Raw genomic sequence first — 25,186 nt, forward strand, 5'->3', positions numbered from 1 at the left:
CAAGATGGTAGAAAAATTAGCAAATGGGCAGATATAAAGGCTGCCATTTGCTTATTATTTATATTTGAATTCCAATTACCAAGTGAAATAATTGCTTATTTATGCTTCTAACGAAAGGGGGGTGTTAGGAGTCTTGGGTTCTGTTAGTGGCTTAAAGGGCTACGAATACTGACAAATCCTTTTACTCTTTAGAAAGATGGAATATTAAGCATTGTAAATTCTATGGACAGAAGCTTAGTTAAATGATTGAGTCCCCACAATGCTTTTGCCTACACAAAGTAGTACTCAATAAATGCTTATTGAATGGAAAAATGGAAGAACAGACTGTTGTCTGGCATTCTCTTCATTACTCTTACCTACGTGTGTGTCTCTGATAGAATAATAAGCAATGTTTACGGTGATGACCTTGAGAAATTGAACAATCCTTTAAGTGCCTTCTGAATCTTTTGCTGTTAAGTGTGGATTCTAATTCTTAGAGAATTCGTAATCCACAGTTGGTACACATGGCAGTCAGTTTCTTGGTAAAATATCTCAAGAAACAGAATATTCTGAGTCCTAAAGAAACTAGGTAGGAAAAATTTTAATATACTTAAATGACATTAAGTTTCCAGTTACTTGCTTTATAACTTTTCATGACATAAAGTGTTTATTAGACTATTTTTGCTGATCTCTTCATCTGAAACCTAGGAAAAGATCCACAGCTCTTGGCATTGAAGGAACATACCTCAAAATAATAAGAGCCATATATGACAAACCCAGAGCCAACATCATACTGAATGGGAAAAAGCTAAGAGCATTCCCCCTAAGAACTGGAACAAGACAAGAATTTCCACTCTTACCACTCCTATAGTATTGGAAGTCCTAGCCAGAACAGTCAGGCAAGATAAAAAAATAAAAAGCATCCAAATTGGAAAAGAGGAAGTGAAATTATCTCTGCTGATGACAGGATCTTATGCCTAGAAAACCCTAAAGATTCCTCCAAAAGACTCTTAGTGCTGATAACTTCAGTAAAGTTTCAGGACACAAAATTAATGCACAAAAATCAGTTACATCAATAATGCTCAAGCTGAGAATCAAATCAAGAGCTCAATCCCATTTATAATAACAGACACACACACACACCCCACACACACCCCTAGGATAATACATTTAACCAAGAAGGTGAAAGACCCCTACAAGGAGAACTACAAAGCACTGATGAAGAAACCACAGATGACACAAATGAATGGAAAAACATCCCGTGCTCATGGATAGGAAGAATCAATATTGTTAAAGTGACTATACTGCCAAAAGCAGTCTACAAATTGCCAATGTTGTTTTTTACAGAATTAGAAAAGACAATTCTAAAATTCATATGGAACCAAAAAAGAGCCCAAATAGCCAAAGCAATCCTAAGCTAAAAGAACAAAGTTGAAGGTATCACATTACCTGACATCAAACTATACTGTAAGACTGTAATAACCAAAGAAGCATGTTACTGATACAAAAATAGACATACAGATCAATGGAACAGAATAGAGAACCCAGAAATAAAGCCACATACCTACAACCAACTGATCTTCAACAAAGTCAACAAACATAAACAATGAGGAAAGGACACCCTGGGAAAATTGGCTAGCCATATGCAGAAGAATGAAACTAGATCCTTATCTCTTACCATATACAAAAATTAACTCACGATGGATTAAAGATTTAAATGTACCCAAAACTATAATAAGAAAACCTAGGAAAAACTCTTCTGGATATTGGCCTAGACAACATGTTTATGACTAACACCTCAAAAGCAAATGCAACAAAAACAAAAAAAGACAAATGGGACTTAATTAATAAGCTAATGAGCTTCTGTGTGGCAAAATAAACAATCAACAGAGTAAGGAGACAACCTACATGATGGGAGAAAATATTTGCAAACTATGCATCCAACAAATTTCTACAAGGAATGCAAACAATTCAACAAGAAAAAATCCTATTAAAAAGTGGGCAAAGGACATGAACACACATTTCTCAAAAGAGGACATATAAGCAGCCAACCAACAGATGAACAAATGCTCAATATCACTGAACATCAGAGAAATGTAAATCAAAACCACAATGAGATGCCATCTCACACCAGTCAGAATGGCTAATACTAAAAGGTCAAAAAAAAAAAAAAAAGATGGTGGTGAGGCTGCAGAGAAAAGGGAATGCTTATACACTGTTGGTAGGAATGTAAGTTAGTTCAGTCTCCTTGGGAAACAGTATGGAGATTTCTCAAAGAACTAAAAATAGAACTACCATTCTACCTAGCAGTCCCACTTCTGGGTAAATCCCAAAGGAAAATAACTTTTTTTTTTTTTTTTAAATCAAAAGGGCACCTGCATTTGTACATTTATTGCAGCACTGTTCACAACAGCAAGGTCATGGTATCAAGTTGTCCATCAATGGTTGATTAGATAAAGAAACTGTTGTATATATACAGCATGGAATACTATGCAGCCATAAAAAGAATGAAATCGTGCCCTTGGCAGCAACGTGGATGGAGCTGTAGGCCAATCTCCTAGGGTAAAATAACCCAGAAACAGAAAGTCAACACATGTTCTCACTTATAAGTGGAAGCTAACAATGGGGTGCACATGGACACAAAGCTGGAAATAATAGACACTGAGGACTCTAAAAGGGGAGTGGCAGGTTAAGGGCTGAAAATTTACCTGTTGCGTATAATGTTCGCAATTTGGCTGATGAGTTCACTGGAAGCCCAAGCCTCACCATTATGCAATATACCCATGAAACAAACCTGCATATGTACCCCCTGGATCTAAAATAAATTTTAAAAAGAAAAGAAAAAAAAATCCCTTCAGATTTTGCTGATTTTCAGGGTGAAAGAAGAAATAAATAAGTTTATATTTTTAAAGAAATTTAAAATCATCTTGAAAATAAAAACTTATCTAAGCACATATAGGCTCAGATAAATCAAGAAATATTTTAAATGACTCTTGGATATACAATTTGCTTTTCTTTTTTATTCTCATTTTATATTTTTAAAATTTCACAAGAATTTGAACATACTAGAATACTCGTGCTACAAGAAGATGTCAGTGCTGTTGTGGCTGGAATTTCATAGGGGAAGCTAAGTGGAAACTACAAGTGGTTCTTTGGATAACTAAGGCAAACAGTGTTTCTGAAAATTAAGCTGGTCTCAAGTTTTCTGATAGAGAATTACCAGATATTGCTCCCTGGTTAAATTTTACTTTAGATGTGTGGATATAGATCAGCCTACTGATGTTAGGACAATGAAGGGACGGCAATGATTAGAAGGAAGACGTCAGAAATGTTAGAAGGGCCAACAGTAGATGTGCAGGTCAAATAGGATTCCTGTAGCCTGATGTTTTTGAAAAACACTTGTCAGGTATATGCAAGAGATAATATTCAGAAATTTTGCATTATTTCCTGCAATGAATTTTATTGCTCTGTAATCATACAGTATTAGTTTATGGACACAAAATTTGATCACTAGAAATCTTTGGACTAACAAATGCCAAGTAATAAAGGCAAAATACTCAAAAGGAAACAGCTTTGAAATTGTTTCTATTGCTTTCCCCTGAAAACATGACCTGTTCTCAAAGAAAGCAGCTCACTATTTTCAAAAGAAAACCAAATATGCATATGAATCTGAATTCTATTTGGTGTGAGAATGATGGGATGTATGTTTTATACTTTGCCAAATTATCAGATTGAGGACAAGAAAAAATTAGAATTCCAGGGTATCCCTATTAGAAAGTACCAAATAATTCTGATTCCTGAACAAAAATGTACAGTGGAGCAAATAGCTTGCACTGCTGCCCAGCCTGCTATAGAAAAACATTCCCGCATGTGGTCTGGTTTATGAATAAAGCTATGTCCTTTGAACATCCATTCCTTTTTAAAAAAACAAATACTTCTTAACTGATTTCCCTGGGCCTGGCTCTGTGCTAAGTGCCGGTGAGATGTAGATGTGGCTCTGGCCACATACGTTTACAGACATTAAACGTTTTTTTTTTTTCCAAAAGCTGCTATTTTTTTTTTTTCTTTGAGATGGAGTCTCGTACTGTTGCCCAGGCTGGAGTGCAGTGGCACCATCTCGGCTCACTGCAACCTCCATCTCCCAGGTTCAAGTGATTCTCCTGCCTCAGCCTCCCGAGTAGCTGGGATTACAGGTGCCCATCACCATGCCTGGCTAATTTTTTGTATTTTTAGTAGAGACAGGGTTTCACTATGTTGGCCAGGCTGGTCTCAAATACCTGACCTCACGATCCACGTGCTTTGGCCTCCCAAAGTGCTGGGATTACAGGCGTGAGCCACTGTGCCCGGCCCAAAGGCTGCTTTTTATACTTATCAATACATACATTATCTATGTTGTAAGACATAGATAATGTTGTAAGGTCAGGGGCTTTTTTTTTTTCCTTTGTAAAACTGTGAGTGACATGTTATTAAGTGAGGAACATGTCCTTCTCAGGCACCAAACCTTCAGGTTCACTAGCCAGCCCCAACACTTCCTAATATTGTGTCAAGGTTATCTGGGAAGGTCACCTGGAATGAAATTAGAGAAAAGGCAGGTGGAGACTCTGCTTCAAAATAGAGTCCCCTTTCTAGTTGGCAAAATGTGATACACTGAAGTTCTTTCTTTCTGAGCTCTTCTTTATAGCATGCCCCTTCTGTTTCCACATTCTGTATTTGATACACTTGATTAGATTTCAGCCGACATTATGTCATCACACATGATTGGACCCACTTGACTGGTTAAAATTTCAAATGTGTCTCATACTTTTCTGAGACCACATCATGGACTCCTTTGAACTGAAGGTGTCTAAAGTTCCTCCGCCGCTCCTTTATTGTCATTCTTTATGTTAAATAATTAATGTATTTTATCTAGTACACATTTTAAAAGCCTCCACACATTTTCTTATCAGCTATGGATTGAACAAGTCTTACAGGTACCTATTTTAAAAAGCCAAAGAACTCTAGGGCTTATGAAAACCAAGTACCTGCCTCCCTGCTGATTCCTGCTCCATAAAAACAACCGCTTGCAACTCTTTCAACTACTTCTTTCAGCAATTTGTTTCCAGATTTCTAAATAACATGATTATAATGTTATTCCTTGATTTTTTTTTTTCAGTCACAGACATTATTTACTGACTTTGTAGTATGGAAAGGATTTAATTTCTCACATCATTTCCTTCTCTCTCTAGCTTCTTCTCTTTCTTATGCATATGCACACACGATTTACTTCTGTAAACTCTAAATATAGCTGTATTTTAAATTTTTGGTTAAATCAATATTGAGTGTTAAAATTATTATTGTTCATGACTGAGGTATGTAGTATACCATGGTTACATTTCCTTTCTTGTTCCCCCCCCCCTTTTTTTTTATACTTGTTTTCTATGTATCTCTCTCTAAGCACATGTAAACTTTCTGCTGATAAATGCCCTTCAACATGGTCAAACGCAGCAGGTCATCTATTTATACCATTTTATTTTTCTTGGAGGCATCTTTCCTGGAACCCTGCATTGTCCCACTCTGCCAGGACTTATTTCTTTCTAGGCCTGTGGCAGACTTGTCACCCCAGGTTCCCTTCACCATCATTCTGGGTATTTTCGTCATCTTCCTGGACTACTAGGTTTAGTTATTTATTTTGGTGGAACACATCCTTCAGTTGCTTCCTGAGAAATGGTGCATGAAAAGTAAATTTTTAAGACAGGAGTAAATCATGTGTGATAAAGTAGACTGCCCTCCCCAATGTGGGTGGGCCTTATGCAATCATTTGGAGACCAGACTAGAACAAAAAGGCTGAGTCTTCCTGCTTGGTTGAGCTAGGACATCAGTCTTTTCTGGCCTTCAGACTTGGACTGAAGCATCAGCGTTTCTTGGGTCTTGAGCCTACCAGTGCTCATAGTGGAACAACACCATCAGCTCTCCTGGTTCTCAGGCCTTCAGATTTGAACTGGACTTAAAACTTTGGCTCTCTTGGGTCTGAATGAGCTTGTTGACTGAAAATCTTGAGACTTTTCAGCCTGTATAGTATAGTCATGTGAAATAATTCCTCATAATCTCTCTCTCTACATATGTATATACACATATATATACATATGTATGTGTATATATGTATGTACATACATATATACAGCTGTATGTATGTATGTATATGTGTATACACATACACACACTCACACATATATATATATCTCCTTAACCCTTAACACAGGAGGGCTATAAAATACTAGTTGGAAATAATTCTGTTGGGAATTTGGAAGGCCTTGCTGTATTGTCTTTTAAGCTTCTATATTGCTGCTGAGACGTCCCAGGCCACACTTATTCTGGGTCTATTGTATGTAAACTGTTTGTTATTTATTTACTTATATTCTGACAGCTTTGCCAGTTTTGAAGGCCTTCTCATTTCCCAGGTATTGATATATCATGTTGATATGTCTTTTTGTGAGTCTTTCTTTCATTTAGTATGCTGGACACTCAGTGAATCCTCTTAATATGGGATTTCAAGGCTTTTAATTCTAGATACCTTTCTTATATTCTTTCTTCAATACTTTCATTTCATATTCTCTAAAACTCTTATTACTTAGATTTTGAACCACTTGGACTGATCTTTTTATTTTCTTATATTTTCTCTGCTTTGCTTTTTGTTCTACTCTTTAGGAGAATTCCTTATCTTCTAACACTTTTATTACATTTTTTATTTCTGCCAATACATTTTAGTTTGCAAAATTTTTTCTTGGTCTCTAAATGACTTTCCCCTACTTTGTTCTACCTTTTTTTTTAACAGCCCTTTTCTTGTTTTATAGAAAGAAGTTTTCTAATCTCTGTAAAGCTATTATAGTTTCTTGCTTCCTTCCTTTCTTTCTTTTTACATTTTCTTCCACTCCTTATTATCCCTGTTTCTTCTAACGTCCTTTCTTTCTGTTTGTTTAGGTTTCCTTCATATTTGTGAATTTCTCCACTCCTTGGTATAGACAGGCTTATCTTTAGGGTAGTTAGGCAGCAAGCTTTTTTCATGGCACTTCAAATGTTAGTACCTGTACATCTTTTCTTTCTGGCCATTTAGTTTCTCCAAAGACATTTCTTACATTCTCTTCCCAGGGAGTATAGGCATGGCTATTTGGGAGCTAAGTAGGGGTTAGAGGGATGTGTATGTGTGTGTGTTTTCACAAGTATTCCCAGCATCATATTGGCTGTGCAAACCTTTCATCTTCTGTTGCAGCAGAGGAAGGTAGTGGCCTAATTACTCAGAGGTGGAGACTGGGTTCTGGAAGACTTGCTGCTCATGAATTTTCTAACAATTCTATTTTCAGTCCCACCTTACACCTCCACTTCCACCTGAGATTCCCCTGGGGCCTTAGTTCCTGGGCCTTTCCAGGTTCTGTTGGATTGATTTTGATCATTTTCCTCACTGCAGATTCAGAATTCAGAATTTCCTGGTATTCTAGGTCTTTTTCCAGTCACTCAGCTACTCTTTCGATTTTACCGACATTTCTTCTCTTCTCTTGGTCCCACTGTCCTCATAGGCTTATGGCATTTTTATTCTTTTCTTGTCATTTTAATGAGTCTTTGGAAGAAAGTAGATATAAATGTTCAAACTGGAGCCTAGGACTTTATTCTGAATGCACTCTTTCAATTTCATCAATCTGGCTTTTAAAAAATATAAATAATGCTGAAGGTTCCAGCAACATCTGAAGCTGGTCACACATGCATCATCAATCTGATAGAAAAAACTAGGTGAAACCTAACTAAGTAAGTCTGATTGAGTAAACAGACCAAACTTATAATTCCATGTCTTGAGACTTACCAACTTTATAATGTATACAGCCTTCCAAGTCCCCAACAGTGATCCAGCCTTGTTTCTTTTCTACTTCTGGGTCATTATGTAGTATTCTGTTTCTTAACCATGAAAGATAGTAAACTCGTAGCTTATTCTTCTTTCCTGTTGAAATAATAGAGGTTTAATTTCAAATTGCTGTGACAGCTCTCACTTTTTCCTTCCCCACCTCCATTTATTTCTAATTTATTTTATTTACGTGTGTGTGTGTGTGTATGAAGGCATAATAACCAGTGTCCCCAGCACTTTGTCATTAAAATGGTGTTTCTGCCAGAACTTATGGTTAAAATAGCTCTACGTGTTTTAGACACATCACAGAATTACAATGTCTTTTATCTTCAGGTGGTTTCTTATTTGAGCATGTGCTCTTACTCTCTCTTCCCAATGCAAAGCAGTGTCTGCTGAACTTAGTAAGAGCTAACTCTTCAACAGAGTGATCAGAGTTCCAGAACATTCTAGATCAATCACATGAAGAAGTGTTGGCAACTGGGCATTTTGGCACCTGCCTTTCCTTCACCGTATAACCTAATAACAAACAAGAGGATAATATGGGTTCAGAAAATTATACTGGGCAGGTTTATGGTGCTGAAGTCACTGAAAGGAATACTGAACAAAAATAGGAAAAAAAGGATGCAAACTTGAAAACTTAAATTTCCGTTTGGTAAAGTGATCTTGGAATAAAGAATTCATAGGATGATAAAATATTTAGACAATATTGAAGAGTACACAAGTAGCAAAACTTGATATACTCCATTTGATGATTTGCACCAGATAAAATGTCCATTGGGATGACTCTTCCTAACTAATGATAAATTTAGCTCTATGGGTTTTATTTTTTGGATACTTATTTTTCTTTATCTTAGGCTTTAAAAATGTTTTATTTATTTATTTATTTATTTTTTTTTGAGACATGAGTTTCACTTTTGTCGCCAAGGCCGGAGTCCAGTGGCATGATCTCGGCTCACTGCAACCTCTGCTTCCTGGGTTCAAGCGATTCTCCTGCCTCAGCCTCCCAAGTAGCTAGGATTACAGGTGCCGCTCCCAGCATGCTCAGCTAATTTTTATATTTTTAGTAGAGATGGGGTTTCACCATGTTGGCCAGGCTGGTCTGGAATTCCTGACCTCAAATGATCCGCCCGCCTCGGCCTCTCCCAAAAAAAATGTTTTATATTTTATAGATGAATATATACCAGCAGAAGAGAACTTAGTAAAGCATTACACATGCATTTGACAGGAGAGCACATTCATCACCTAAACTAAGGGAATCATTGTGTGGTCAGTATTCAATTTTGTAACCAAAGGCCTAGAATCCACATTGATCACAGTAGCTAGGATGGACACGAGAGCCAGTGTTTCCTCCTTTCTATGCCAATATGAATCCAAGGTTAGTTCAAGAATCTTTTGCTCCTATTTTCATTTTCTCCTTTCCCTATCTGTGCCTCATGAGAAAAGGAAACTCTTACACTGTTAAGAATGAAGATGTGCCACTAACAACATAATGAAGTCTGAATGTGAATTTTCTGGTTGCATTCCCACTTTTGGCAGATATGCAGTTTTCATTTTGATTTGGTAGTATAGCAATCAGGACAGCAATTAACCAGAACAAAAGACTACATGGGATTAAACTCAAATGGCAATACAAAAGGAATTTACCTGGTTAACCTTATTTGGGGAGAATAAAAAGAGATGAAACTGAGCATTCAGTGGAAAGGTAAAAGAAAGAGGAAGTTTAGTGACAAGCAAAAGCATTTTGTCAAAATGGAAGTACAGCTGAACTTTGAGGAAAGTTCAAACCAGCATCCCTGTGTTGTCTCTTCGTGAAACAATGGCTGAGCATAAATCCATGTTCTCAAACTTGGCTGTACAATGGAAACACATCAGAAACTATGAACGCTCCTGATGCCTAAACCCCACCCCCAGAGATTCTGACTCTGGTCTGGGGGTGCAGCCTAGATTTTCACATCTCCCTAGGTGATTATAAAGTGCAGTAGCAAGTTGGTTCCATACTAGATGGAATGAGAGGGGAAGTGACGGGTGTTACTCGTTAAACTCCTTCAAATACCAAAAAGAAAAAAAACTTTCAACAAAACTACCCTCTTTTAGGTTGCATTTTTAACTTGTTACAAGGCCTTCACTTTAGTCTCCATCTTTTTTTTTTTTTCCTATATAAGGCTCTTTTTGGGAATCAGAAAGCTACAGAGCATAGCAGTAATGATTCCCACACTCAAATCTTTTTGTAGACTTGATCACCCAGTGTGCCAGCTGCACCTGCCAAAACATCAGTGGGCTATAAGCAAGAGAATTTTTGAGGGAAGAGACCAAGAAATTTCTGCTTACTAAATGTCCCTCTAGGAAGCCTGCATTTTGATATTCTGTCTGTATGTGGTAATAACTGGAGTGCAGAAACCTTAAAAACATCCGAAGATCCTTGCTGAGTCCTGACAGAGGTAAAGAGCTATAAATATATAGCCTTTGTGGTATGTCTCTGCCTAATTCAGATTTAATGCAGAGGTGAGAGACTTCTTTTTGGAGGTCAGAATTCCCAGTGTTACAAAATGTGGGCAATCTCACTCTGGCTATACTGCTATACTTTATTGTGTTGTTTGTTAGCTGGGAAGGGCAGAACTAACTGTTTCTGCAGAAATGAGGTGGATCCCTTTCCCGCTGTATGGACCTGGGGGACTCATCATCTTAGTAACATACCTGAAATTGTCACAAGGACATTCAGTCCCTCTAGCACATCCATCTGCTGAAATCGCCTCCGGTTGATCAGATTATAGACTTTGCCTTGCCCACTTCGGTCCAAAAGCATCAGGCCATTTTCAGTCCCCACCAGAAGGTTTACACCTGTAAATTTAAGAAGCACCCTAAGACTGACTTTTCATGAACTTTAATCTTCTGCATCGAGAGTCCCTATAAAATTTAAGAAACTGTGACTTGTAAATATACACTAATGGGCAAGTAGGTAAATATAAACTAATGAATGTAGAAGCTCTGACATAATAATTAAATCATTGTACTTCTGGTAATGAAATTACAGTTTTCTTTTATAAAGTTAGCAGCATTCATACATCTAGTTATTTACTACCTAATGCAGAGAGTCCTTGTCAATAGGAGCCTTAGGCACAGATGTGAAGCTAGCATAATTTGCCTTTATTCCCTGCCTGGAAAAACCACTTCTTTCTTGGCTCTCCCTATAAATCACTTCTCTTCTTCCCCAAGATTCACCCCCACCCCTATGCAGTGGTCTCTAGCCTACCCACCTTCAATATACAGTGGAATTTCCATTTCCATACTCCAATGGAAGAAAGGCCCTTCCTCCTTCTTGAATCAAAATGTAACTATCTTATGCCCCATACCCTCAAGTTTTTGCTCTTTTTTAGGGAAATGATAAACCCATTCAAGAGAAGTGTTAATAGCTGGAGAGTCACAGACATACTCACTTTAAGGGACTTCTCAGGTCTCTAAATCTAGTGCAGCCCAACACCCATGCAGTAATCCCTATTACAGAAGCACAGGCACATAAGTGGCTTTGTCTGGGTAGTTGTAATCCTAAAAATTTATGGCTAGGGAAATGTATCATCCACCCCTCAACACACACACACATTGAGAGGCTCATTGTGCAGTGTACTTTATTCATGAACATGTAACTCTCTAACTTCTCTTACGTCTTGTACTTCTATCTTCTGATCAACACAAATGTCTGCTTTTTTGTCCATATATTAATCCTTTCAGTATTAAATGTGGCTATCTTGTTCTCTTCTGTCTCTTCTCCAGAGGACAGAGCCTCTATCATGAAATGGTTCCTAGGCTTCACACTCTTCCCCGCTAACATCTCAAATGCTTTCAGCCTTTTAAAATTATGGTTCCCCAATCCAAGCCTAGTATTTTCAGTGGGTACACAGGGGACATGTCCTTCCTTAATCTGTATGAGATGTTTATAGTAACACAGACCAAGACTTTGATAGAATCTCATCATGCCTCTCCTGAGTTTGAGGTCAGCTAAAACCTGCAGATCTTTTTCACGAGAAAATGCAGATTGATGTTTTAAACTAAAAGGGAAAGTTCATTAAATTATTTGTTGTTCTTTTCAAGTTTTATCTTGTTATTGCTAGGGTTATGACCTTTAGTAATTCACAAAAATACTCTGGGCTGATTTTTCAGCTTGAAATAAAGGTTTATGCCATTATTTATGCTCATATTCCCCTTGCAGGATGTGGTATGGATCATGGAGAATGAACGTGGGGTATATCACAAAGTGCCAGACACAAATCGCCTCTGATTGATCACATTATAGGCTTTGCTTTGCCCACTCAATGTATTCAGTGGTAGCTAGTTCTCTTGTTGGCTTTAGCCTATCACTATTGTGTGACAAGGTTGCTCTGAATCTAATCTCGTCTTCCTGGCTAGTAGCGTATCAGCTATTTCTACATATAAAACTCCTTTTGGTTTCTCCTGAGGTCAAGATAGTCCCAAGTTAGGTCTCTAATACCCAGGATTCAACCAGTGTTCTTTTGATGACAAGATCCACAGGCTTTTAATGTTTGAGGGTCAGTTCATTAATGAGTGGTTATTTAAAAAAAAAAAAAAAAAAAGCACCAACATACCCCACAGAGCTGCACAAAGTATTTCTGAGTTGAATCGTTTCTTGTATTTTCTGATTTCTGGTGTGTCGCTATGAGGCCGAATGTTGGTTGGGTTTACATTTACCACCGAAATCTTTCTTGCTTCATTGAGTTTGGCCTGTTCTTGCCTAAGAAGTTCGCTAGTAAACAGAGCTTTGAGAAAAAGAATCAGAGAAGTCAGTGACATCTTAAAAGATAACTTATGGAGATGGGGCTTCAAAACACTATGATTTCTCCTTGTTTGGTTTGAATTATAGTAAAGGCAAGGAAACTCTGAAACTCTCCTTATTTTACACTTTTTTTTTGTTTTAGTAGAATAAAGTCTAAGTCATTCATCAAAGGAATCTTTTATTCATTAGAAAAACAGGCTTATAGACACTACTTGCAGAGTCTAGAAAGTCCCAAATTAAATACACCATCCCCACTCTTGTATATAGGCAAAAAAGATCTACTTTTTAAAATTGCAGTTTATCAGTTGAAAAACTGTCCTAAGCTGACTTTGATGATTAATTACTTGAAGAAGATTAGAAAGCAAGACTCCTTTAAATCAGCCTGATCTTTGTGGTGGGAAGCACACACCTAGAACTCAACACAATGTACCATACACTTATTAAGTGCCTAATGTGTGTAAAACATTGTACCCAGAAATTGTTTTGGGGAAACATTTAGTTATGTTCAGAGATCACTGAGGAACAGCTTTTCCTAGGGTCCCTATGTACCCCTGGGTCTACCAGAAACGAAATAGAAGAGATGGGAAAAAAAATGGAAAGTAATACATTTGTTTTAGGAGTCCTACAGAAATAATAATTTTAAAAAGTCTTCCTTTTAAGATAGGACCTAAGCAGTAATCAGCTTAACTACTGAACTGAGGATTAATTTCCTTATCAGGTCATACCAGAAAGGAAGACGAAGCTGTTTTTTAAACACAGGGCCCTTCTTGCTTACCTGCGGCTGATGATTCCTCATCCTCTTCATCTTCATCAGTGGGAGACGTCTGGTATACTCTGGGGTCCACAAAGGGGGTGAAGGAGGCTTTGGTGCTGCTCCCCATGCCATACTAATCAATAAGCAAGAAGATTAAGAAGAGCAGATAAATACTGCAGGAATAACAATGCTAACAATACTGTGCTTGGGCTGTAAAACGATCACAGATTCTTCAAGGTATTCAGGTGTTCACATTCTAGTGCTCTAGTCAGTGCGTGCCTGTCTCCAGCTTCTTCTGGTATTGGTTACTCACTAGTCATTGTGCATTCGTAGGACTTCATTAATTATCAGACTGCAAGAATTGTAGTGAGAAAATTACATTTTGGACCACATGTGGCACCTTAAAATCTGTAAGATCACTGTGGTGACAGAGCTTACCTCTCCCTTTCAGTAAAAGCAACCTCCTATATTGACTACTTGATCAATATGAAAAGCTGACATAATTGGCAATAAACTAAGTAAGGAAGCCTATACAGCAGTACTTTATCCTGAACAGAGTCAAACCAAGGGGCTTTCTCTTGGGGAGGAGAGCTTTGAGCCCTTCTACTCTGGCCTGGTGATGCAAGTGAATTGGTGTTGGCTCCAAAAGCTTTAAAATCCTCAATTCAGGGATGATTTTATGCTGGAATTGAAGATATTTCCTTCCCACGATAGTTTCCTTAAAAGAATAATTACATTTACATCCTTATTTAGGGACTTCATGAGGATATTACGTTTGTGAGCAATGTACCTTGAAGGCTTACTTTAAAAAATGAATCTTGGGCTTGAATGGCACCATGAAAACATGATGTCAGAAGGAGATGAGGGAACAGTAAACTCAATATCAGGGTTTTATGTCACAATATTCTAAATTTGAGTTTTGCTGAATAAGCTGCAATGTCAGTCATGTCCATTTCTTCTATTCTTGTCCTTTAACATCATAAACACATCTGTATTCAACATAATAAGCACATCTTTTTTGGATAAATATCTTTAACTAAAGGTTATTTCACTTTAGTTTTACTGTTAGGTTTTTATTTAAAAATAAAACCACCATCCAAGACCTCTAAACATATAAGGAGAAAACCACAAAGATCTAATCTGATTTAATTCAAGATTTTCTTTCCATCCTATGAAATCAAAACCATTTCATCCTCCTCAAGGTTGAATTCCCCCTACCAAATAGAACACTTTCACGTACATGTTCTCTTTTGATCTTTGGAAGATGTCTGTGAAAGAGGTAGGGCAGGCACTAACATTTCCACATAGAGCTGGGGCAGCAGCAGAATTTGAACCAGGGTTCAATCTTATGGTGTCCTCCTTGGTACCAAGAGAGGTGTTCAGGCAGAAAATGCCCACACAGCATGAAATTACAATAGGATGCTGTGCTTTGCAGTATATCACTGTGTTCTTTTCCTTGGGGTATGCAAAGCTCATCTACTCTATAACTTTAGAATTCAAAGGGTGCATCATAAAAACTTAGTGTGTGGACAATGTCAAAAATAATAGTACATGTGCTTTATAAACACATTTAGGGCCTTACGTGTGATTGACAAGACTGTTAATGAAACAAGACTACACACTGTGAACTCATCCAACTGGTGTCAGTCATCAGCGTCTATGGGCACTACCTACAGATTGTGTTTATTCAGACTTTTCGCTGGGGCTGTTTCTCTACAGGAAAGGTAATGCTTGGTTTCTTTCTTCTCACACAATTTTGAATTTATGAAAGATGAACACTCTAAGAACTTATCTATTTATTAAATTTTATTTTTCATAAACAAATCATTTAAACTTCATTTTACTTAAGTCATACTTAGTTTGACTAAATTAACACAAATATAAACCTCAACTGTTGGCCTTGAAATCTGTGTAGCCTGAAGTTTCCATCAGAACTGGAGGTCCCAGTTCTGGTCTTAGATCTGTCACAAACCAGCTGTGTGTCTTGGACAAGTCATTCAACCTCTGTGAACCTCAGTACACTCATCTGTAGAAACAGGTATTGGTTCAGATGATATCTGAGAACTTTTCACTGCTCTGCTTCCATGATTTCTCTATTTGAGTATCTGCATAAGTAGCTCTATGGTAGAAACCAACCAAACAAGTTTCAAGGAGCTTGGCGAAGCCTCATTCTTGAAGAGATCATGGTTTTAGAACCCCAGGAAGGACAGCAGAACTGTCATGTCAGCTGTTGCCCAGCACCTACTTCAGTCCCAGAGTCCATCTCCTGGGAATGGGTTGAGACGCGCCCCAGTCCCTCAGTCGGGGTTCCAGCTGGAGAATGGCTCTGCTGCACCAGGTCAGGGAGGTTGATGTGGCCAGCAAAGCCATTGCTGTCACTGTGGCCAGATCGCTTCTTCTCTCCAGACGTCTGAGGGAGCACAGCACGTGGGAGGAGTTAGAGAGGGGGGAAAAAGGCCACAGAGTGACATCAGCCCTCACACAGCATAGGCATACGGGGCTCCAAATCAACCCACTAGGGCATGAGAAGGTGATATTCACATTTCTATTTTACTTAAGAAAACAAAAAAGAAATTAAGCTTTGCCAATATTTAGTTTATGGATTGAGCCTGAAGCCTTACGTTCCTGCATGAGGTACAGACAGTGGTCACATATGGCATGGGAGTCCCATGTACAGAGGGAGACGCTACAAAAAGGGAGGGACTGAGCAGGGCCCACACTTGTAAACTCTTTTGTAGTACTTGTGCTGTATGCACCTGCCACTTATATATATTTACAGATCATATTACCAGGTTACAATGAAACAAACCCACACAACAGATAAACGACCTAAAGTGTTGCTGAAAAGAAGCAGTGTGTGTGGAGTACTCCAAGAAAGGGCAGAGACCATACTTAACTCACAGGGCTCTTTGTCATTCACAAGGTCAAAACAATGATTAATCAGATCTGACAGGAGTTCCAAATATATTGACATGATCTAGAATACTATTTGAAAATATGGATTTACAACTATCATAAATGTTTATGTCTCAATAAATAACTATGGTGCTTTGTGATGTAGGCAGTAACAAAGTCATAACTAGCAAAGCATTTGAAACATCACCTCTAATATCCCTTTTTAATGTCCTTTAAAGGTTTTTCTTTTTTTTTTTTTTGAGATGGACTCTTCACTCTGTTGCCCAGGCTGGAGTGCAGTGGCGCGATCTTGGCTCACTGCAACCTCTGCATCCCAGGTTCAAGCAATTCTCCTGCCTCAGTCTCCTGAGTAGCTGGGATTACAGGCATGTGCTACCACACCCGGCTAATTTTTGTGTATTTAGTAGAGATGGGGTTTCACCATGTTGGTCAGGCTGGTGTCGAATTCCTGACCTTGTGATCCACCCACCTTGGCCTCCCAAAGTGCTGGGATGACACGTGTGAACCACCATGCCCGGCCAAAGGTATTTTATAATGTATATAATGTCAGTGCAGTAGAAAAAAATGTATGACTTGTGAATAAATACACTGTATTAGGTGACACGCTGTACAGTTTTTACTGATAGGATTACGTGATGTAACAAGTTTGGAAGCCATTGCTCTGGAGAGCAGTCTCTGCCAAAAAAACCCCAGGGAGGAAAGGCAAGATTAAAAGACAACTCTGGTTTCCAAAAGCCAGTGCCCACATTGTAGGCCTGACTAGTGTTGCACTTTTTAACTTTTATGCAACTGGCTCATTGAGGATTCTTAGAGCAGATCTGATTAAGTGATGATTTCCCTCTCTGCCTTTTCTTTCATTCATTCATCAACACAGTATTTTTTAGTTCCTACTAAGTGTAAAGCATTCTACTGGCATGTGCAAGGTTTCATGCTGTTTCTTTGACCATCTCACCAGCCTAGCTTTTTACTTCTGGAGCTTGTCATGGATTTGCAATTACAGCTCTCTGCACCTGCCTCTGGCTGGAAGTGAAAGGAGGCACTTCTTTTCTTTTTTCTTGTTTAGATGAAACAGACTCCCAAGCTCCTGTAATGGTGCATGTAATTGATGTTTCCAGGAAGCTTGAGAGATAACTGGAAAGCCTAGTGTCCTTTGTGTTTCTTGGCAACCTGCTCCTGGACTACGAGCTGTCCTGGAGAGGAACATTTTCTGGATTCATTTTGTCACAGTGGCCATCAGTAGCGTGTATTAGTGCCTATTCTCAGAGTTGAGCATTTCCTTTTCTAAATGACATTTAGGAAATTCAGTCCTAATACATCTTATTGTGTGCTACTTTATGTATACTGGGCAGTTTCTCCTTTCTTTTAACTTCTGTTCAAATACTGAAAAGCTTTTAAACATTTTCCCCAAACCTCTCTTTAGCATAAATCACATGTCATCTCTTTGGAATTTTTTGGCCTCTCTTGTATCAGCAGCACTCTTTCTCAAGCCAAAAACTGATGCAGACACACTGGTTATCAAAGAGAGACTCAGAGAGGCTAACAAGGGGAAGTGGCTCAGATAGTGAGAAGCTTAAAGGAATCCAGTAGTATGCTCTGAATCTGCCCACTTCTGAGTCATCACCCTTTTGTTCACTCCACCAGCACCTTCTTATTAAACACTTTCTGTGTGCCAAGTACTGTACTGGAAACACAAAGACAGATGTACAACAGCCTTAAGAACCTCATTAACAGAACCTCAATAATATCTCGTCTTTATCTCTCACCATTCCCGTGGGGATTGGCACAAAGATGTTCTGTGTACCACCACATGCCAAGTACTGTGCTAAACACTTTATATATGACATTCCATCAATTATCTTGCCCTGAGTGACACGGGTTCTAAGTGGTTTGAACCCAGCTGTCCTATGGCAGAGCCCAGGTGCTCTGGGCTGCACTGTTGTATTAGGGGGCCTACTCCTGGTCACAGCTGATTGAATCAGGGGTGGATGCCTGAGCCAAGAGGGACCAGATTCCCACTGGAATTTAATATTAAGCCCAAGAGACATGGATCAGTTTCTGCTGGCAGTTGAACTGGGATGTGGTGAGTATCTTGCAATGGAGGAAGTGGAGAGGTGAAAGCAGGAGCATGCAGAGGGAGAGAAAGCTCCTCTACAAAGAGAGAGAAGAGCAAAGGAGAAATGTGGAAGAAAGCAGAGATTAGGGTAAGGAGAGACAGGCAGCAAGAGAGCCAGAGACCTGCACATGAGAAGCTGCCTGAGCTCCTGTCTGTTCCAGTCCTTCAAAGAGGCTCAGCTCACTTTTACCTTTGGGTTCCTTCCATGAAATACCCTAAATCTTCCTTTACTCCTCTATTTCTGATACCTACCCTCTCCCGACTTAAAAAATGTTCTTTTTTTTCTTTCTTTTCTTTCTTTCTTTTTTTTTTTTTTGCTTACTCTGTATTAAGTGGGTTCTTTTACTCATTACTTGTAACCCAAAGAGCCTTCATGATGACAAGCTAGTGTTCTGGTTCAGTGAGGAGGATCAACGCTGAAAAGATACCAGGAAGGTGCTGTGTACAAAGGTCCATGGAGTCCCAGTAGAGGCTTGTAGGAGATAAGGAAGATTGAGAACAGGGACCTTCTTTTGGTGAAGTGTGGGTAGCAGTGGATAATACAAAATACCTCTTCCAGCAGATGAGCTTCCATGGACAAATGGCAGCTCACAGCTGGTGTGGTGTATTCTAGAACCGAGTAAAAAGTGGTCCTGTGGGGCTATAGGACAGGGATAGGTAGAACCACAGGGATAAGGGTATGCACTACAAGGGGAAATTTGTGCATCTGACAGGATCATGAGTGTTAGAGTGGTATGTTCTTATAGAACCATCTAGTCCACTCCACAAGATGACAAGTTGGGTGAGTTCTCCTAAAGTTCATCTTGGAGAACTGTACTAATAGCACCCTATAAGCTAAATCTTATTATAATGAGTTTTTATTTTATGTTCTTATTTTGTCAGGGATAAACTTTAACCTGCATTTATCTTGTTTAAACATGTACTTTTAGTAATTTTCAGCTCAAGGTTTGATGATGGTTAATTTTATGTGTCAACTTGACTAGACCATGGGGTGCCTCGGTTAAACATTTTTTCTGGTATGTCTGTAAGTGTTTCTGGAAGCAATTAGCATTTAATTGGTAGACTCAGTAAAGTAGATTGCCCTTTCCAAGTGGGATGGGCATCATCTAATCTGCTGGGGACCTGAACAAAACAAAAGGCAGAGGAAGAAGGAATTTTCTCCCTCTTTTTCTTCTCCGCTGGTTGAAGTGGGACATTTCATCTCATCTTCACCCAGCTTCCAACTAGGATTTATACCAACAGCTTCCCTGGGTCTCCAGCTTGCATATGGCAGATCATGGGACTTCTCAGCCTCCATATCATATGAGCTACATCCTCATAATGAAGCAGTCTCTCGGCCGGGCGTGGTAGCTCACGCCTGTAATCCTAGCGTTTTGGGAGGTCAAGGCGGGCAGATTGCCTGAGCTCAGGAGTTTGAGACCAGCCTGGGCAACACAGTGAAACCCCATCTCTACTAAAATACAAAAATTTAGCTGGGCGTGCACCCGTAGTCTCAGCTACTTGGGAGGCTGAGGCAGGGGAATCGCCTGAACCCAGGAGGTGGAGGTTGCAGTGAGCCGAGATTGCACCACTGCACTCCAGCCTGGGTGACAGAGCGAGACTCCATCTCCAAAAATAATAATAATAATAATAAAGCAGTCTCTCTCTCTCTACATATGTAAATACTCTCTTTCTCTGGAGAACCCCAACTAATACAGTTTGTTATTTAAAAAACCCACATTGAGGAAGGCAGAATTGGAAATTGAGAGGACAAAAATATTTTGGGTTCCTTAATAGATCAAATTCCTATAAGACACTGGCAAATGCTATTTTCTTTCTTTCTTTCTTTCTTTTTTTTTTTTTAAGACAGAGTCTCGTTCTGTCGCCCAGGCTGGAGTGCAGTGGCACGATCTCCACTCACTGCAACCTCTGCCTCCCGGGTTCACGCCATTCTCCTGCCTCAGCCTCCTGAGTAGCTGGGACTACAGGCGCCCGCCACGACGCCTGGCTAATTTTTTTATTTTTAGTAGAGACGGGATTTCACTGTGTTAGCCAGGATGGTCTCGATCTCCTGATCTCGTGATCCTCCCACCTCGGCCTCCCAAAGTGCTGGGATTACAGGCACGAGCCACCGCGCCCGGCTGCAAATGCTGTTTTCAAAGTGACAGGTTGTGGTCATAGAATACTGGAGTGCTATAAATAACATGGAGCCATTTGGATGTGGCTGGCAATGAACTGAAAATGTGGCTCCAAATGTCTACTTGGAGGTATTGACTCTGTCATAAAGACTCAAGCAAATTTTAAGCCACATTAGAAATCGGAGTCCTTTTATCTGGAGTCAAACAGCAACTCACTCCAGAACGTTCTCCCTCATGTTTTCCTAAGTGGTAAGTTATAGGGATAGAAGCCTTCTACACTTCCATTGAAATTATCCATTAACCACATGAAGAGATTTATATGCCAGCACTACACAATGTCAATTTCAGCAGCCAAGTCCATTTTTCATTTCAGGCATATGTGAAAGGACTCTTTAAAGGCTACTTGAAAGATTCAACAAGGACATAAAATGAAATTCTAGCAAGTTGCTTTGTGAACTAGTCTTCCAGTTATAGCCCCACTGCTAATTATTATTTCAAAGGCCTTATTCATCTCAAAACTACAGTTCCTTTCTTTCTTACGAAAGTGAGATGCCCTTTGCCTTTTTGGAGAGCAAAGTCTGCTATTAGAGTTTCCCAACTCTGTCCTGGCTGAAGAGGAAAAACAGATGACATATGTTTATGTTTCAGAGGGAGGACTGGATGGTGATAACAAGTAAAAGGAGAATTCATTTCCGAGGAGAGAGTGAAATAAAATAGTTAACATTTATTGAATGCTTAATTTACTAACTCAATATTCTCAACCATCTTATAAGTTGTATGCTATTATTTATAAAATTTTATAGATGGATGCAGGGAGAGGTCAGGTAACATTTGCCCAATGTTCTCAGCCATTTCTTTCCTTCCAAGTAAATATCTGCACTCAAACTTGCATGGTGATGATGAAGTGAAAAAGAGGAAAAGACGGATTTCAATTTGTCAGGGTCTTTCTGGTTAGCATGGACACAGTGGGGAGTTACTGCATGTCAGAAGGACAGATGAAAGGGAACATGTGCCACCCCCCAAATGAAATGATGTTCCTAGAGTTTAAAAAAAAATTCAACCAAAGTTCCAAGGTACATTTTTGAAGTAGATCTGCCTATTTCTTTGTTATTTCAATAAAATAACTTAACGGTTGTTTTAATGTTAATTTAACAAGATAAGATGATATCATCATTTCTTGGAACTATTGAGCATTTTTTATACGAAATCCACTAAGATAAAACCATGGGGAGAAGAGACATAACAAGGCCAGTGATGCTATTCAGAGAGACCATTCATTTCTGTTTTCCTGTTGTAGGAAACATCTAAGTTTGCAATTTTATATCCTCAGGCCCAAATTCTATATTCTGATTTGCATAGCTCCTGCTGAAGAATTTGGAATAATATAATTAAGTCACACTGCCAGAGCTTAGAAGAATACAGGAAAGAAGGCAGCAGACAATTAAAATCACTCAACTATTTGGAAGCACAGGTCCTCCCTCCCCCAAGAATTCCCCATACTTAAAATACATGCCATAGGCATTCTCTGTGAAAGCTTTAATGTAAAAACCACTGAAGAAATGGCATTTCCTCTACACAGTTTTTATACCAACTTACCTCTCTAATCATCAAGGTTCCTTCTCTTGAAATACTGCCGCTGAAACTGTCCGCATGAGAGGTCTCCAGCCCATGCGTCCCCACCATTCCCACATTGTACTGCTCGTTGCTGCCTGGAGCTCCTGTTGGTCTGAGATGAGAAGGAACAACATTCATGGCAATGTATCTTTAGGAAATATCTGTTTCCTGTCCATATTCATTATTTTTGTTATGGTAAAATATACATATTAATAACATAAAATTTACCATTGTACCAATTTTAAGTGTACATGTCAGTGGTCTTAAGTACATCTCATATTAATTTTTTTTTTTTTGAGAAGGAGTCTCGCCTTGTCGCCCAGGCTGGAGTGCAGTGGCGCGATCTTGACTCACTGCAAGCTCTGCCTCCCAGGTTCACGCCATTCTCCTGCCTCAGCCTCCCGAGTAGCTGGGACTACAGGCGCCCACCACCACGCCCAGCTAATTTTTTTTGTATTTTTAGTAGAGACGGGGTTTCAACATGTTAGCCAGGATGGTCTCGATCTCCTGACCTCGTGATTTGCCCGTCTTGGCCTCCCAAAGTGCTGGGATTATAGGCGTGAGCCACCGCGCCCTGCCAATCTCATATTAATTTTAATGTGTGTTGATGTCTGGACTGGCCCCACTTTTGCAGCATCCCCTCTTGACCTATTCTCTGCCCAGTAGCCAGACTGAGCAAGTGTTTGGCTTTACCTGGAAAAAACACTGAAGTTGGCACCAGGAGTCACCAGGCTCTGCATGATCTCCCCTGACCCCTGCCCTCCTTCTTTGGGCAGCAGACAACCTGACCTGCTTTTACACATGCTGTTCCCTCTGCCTGGAAAGTTCTTTCCACTCTGGCCTTGGTTGGTTCCCTCTCATTCATCCTACATGATGCTTTCTGTGAGAAGTCTGCTCTTATCACCTATGTCTTGTCCCAACAGCCCCTCTTCTTTTCTCTTCACCCTTTTTCCTTCATAGTTCTCATCACAATTTGCAATTATCTTATCTTTTGAATTCTCCCTTTCTCCTTCCCTCTCATTGCTTGTGATGGCAGAGTCCTTGTCTCTTTGTTCATTATTATTACCCAGTACCCAGCCTAGAGTTGTCACATACTAGGAATGCAAAAAATGATTATTAGATCCATGGGCTTTATGCTTCTATAAAGAAGAAATATCTACTAAGAACATTCTGGCTTATTGGGGCATCCATAAACTAGGAGGTTTAACTTAAACAGCACTCAGCCTCTGTAATCATCCTGCATGGTGGTATATTTATTTTCAGTTCTTTTCTTGCTATCATGTTTACAGTATAATGAGAGAAGGTAACAGGATCTCAGCATACTCCTTGAGAACACAGACTGATGTTTCCTGTGTCCTGTAGCACAGAGCACAGTGCCAGGGCTCAAAAAGTGATGACTGACTGCTCATAGTGAGCTTCACTCTATCAGGAGTGCCTCATTTGCATGACACAGAATTTCTCTGGTTTAGGAGCTCAGGGGATTTGAGAACCACACACCACAGGTTGAGGTTGGTACAACATGGCTTCTGGAAGAAGGATTTTGGTTGTTAATGCGATACTTGTTGTTCTCCTATTTTAGCATCTGCCTCTCTTTTAAAGTGGGTTTTCTAAAAATAGGAAAGTTATCAAGGCTTATTTCTCTCTAGGCATATTAATTGCAACTTTAATCATTTTTTTCTTTTATTTTCATTGTTTCTTATATATTTAAAAATATCTCTGGCCTCTTGGATCTTATGAAAGTCCAAAGAATTACTGGAAACTTCCATCTAAGAAACAAGAAATACACCAGATTTATGATGTCTCTGGGGCAGAGAAAGACATATTTCAAGGATTTTTATCCAAAACAGACAGGTGAAAAAATGACAGGGGGAGTCCAGACGAGAAAATGTATAGTAAGAAGCTTCCATTGCAATTACTAAACTGGAGCAGTGGATTGAATGAATCTAAATGTGGGCTAGAACTGATGTGTTTGGGAAGAAATTCCAAAGAGGCATTTTCATTTTCAACATGTCATTCCTAGAAAGGAGCTTTTAATAGTGTTCAGAGACATGGAAAAAAAAATTGAATTCCTGGCATTTTGATAGATTGGTAAATCAGTTTTCAAAATATCATTTCTTCACTCATTTGTTTATCTTGTGTGTATCTTCCATTTTTTTTTCTTGCTCTTCTTTCTTCCTTTGTGCCGTAAGTACTTGTTTGGGACAAAATGATATAAAGCCAATAAATCAATGAAGTACTTATCAAGAGTCTTCCATGAGGGCAGCCACTTTTCTTATTTATCAGAAAGGGGTTCTTTGCTATTGTCAGGGGCTCAGTTGGCCTGGTGGCATCTGCCAGGCTGATGCTTGTACAATCAAGTTCTCCTGTCCTAGTCAGACCTGCTTCCTCTGTTACCTGAATAACAGTTTTCTTGGTGGCCACCCCGTCTTCAGTCCTTTCCCCCTCATATCCACTCCTCACAGCTGTGAAAGTGAGCCCTCCAAAACACAAATCTGACCAAGTCCGAATCACTCTTCTACTTTCAATCTTCAGTAGCTCCCTGTCAACCACAGGATAAACTTGAAGCTCCTTACTGTGGCTTACAAGCTCTCCATTATCTAGTTCTTGCCTGTCTCACTAACCTAATTTTTTTTAACAAAATCCTGCCCCAACTCCTAACTCTACCAGCATTTAACTTATAAAAGTTTCCTATGTACATTATGCTAGAAAATCCCTGGTGACTTTAGCCTGCCCTCTTTACCTGGAAGATTCTTTTCTATTCTCTGCCTCCCTCTGGCTAACTCATTCTTTAAGCCTCACTGGAATGGTTTAGGTGGCTCTTCACTCTGCCTCCACATTGCCCTTTGTGCATCTCTACCACTGCATTCAATACACAGTCCTGCAATGATCAGATCTCATTAATGTTGGTATTTTCAGTGCCAAGCATGGTGCCTGGAATGCAGGTAGCACATAATAAATGTTTATTAAATCGCTGAAGATCTTGGGTCAAGGGCTTTGTTTAATGTCTAACAGAGATTTCATTCAGATTTATTGTAAA

At 39.3% G+C, this 25,186-nt stretch overlaps 1 protein-coding gene across 8 annotated transcripts in view; it reads right to left on the reverse strand.

Annotated features, from left to right (window-relative positions):
* The window catches only part of TNIK (TRAF2 and NCK interacting kinase), a 401,995-nt gene that overhangs the window by 13,294 nt on the left and 363,515 nt on the right, over window positions 1-25,186 (reverse strand). For all 8 annotated transcript variants that reach the window (NM_001161566.3, NM_001161565.3, NM_001161562.3 and 5 more), the window contains 6 exons: window positions 22,132-22,261; window positions 15,635-15,799; window positions 13,411-13,522; window positions 12,448-12,618; window positions 10,544-10,687; window positions 7,811-7,945 (listed from right to left, as the gene is read on the reverse strand). In NM_001161566.3, coding sequence (NP_001155038.1) covers window positions 7,811-7,945; window positions 10,544-10,687; window positions 12,448-12,618; window positions 13,411-13,522; window positions 15,635-15,799; window positions 22,132-22,261 — 857 coding nt within the window. The remainder of the gene's footprint in view (window positions 1-7,810; window positions 7,946-10,543; window positions 10,688-12,447; window positions 12,619-13,410; window positions 13,523-15,634; window positions 15,800-22,131; window positions 22,262-25,186) is intronic.

This window comes from Homo sapiens, chromosome 3 (genome assembly GCF_000001405.40).
Source record: "Homo sapiens chromosome 3, GRCh38.p14 Primary Assembly".
NCBI lineage: Eukaryota > Metazoa > Chordata > Mammalia > Primates > Hominidae > Homo > Homo sapiens.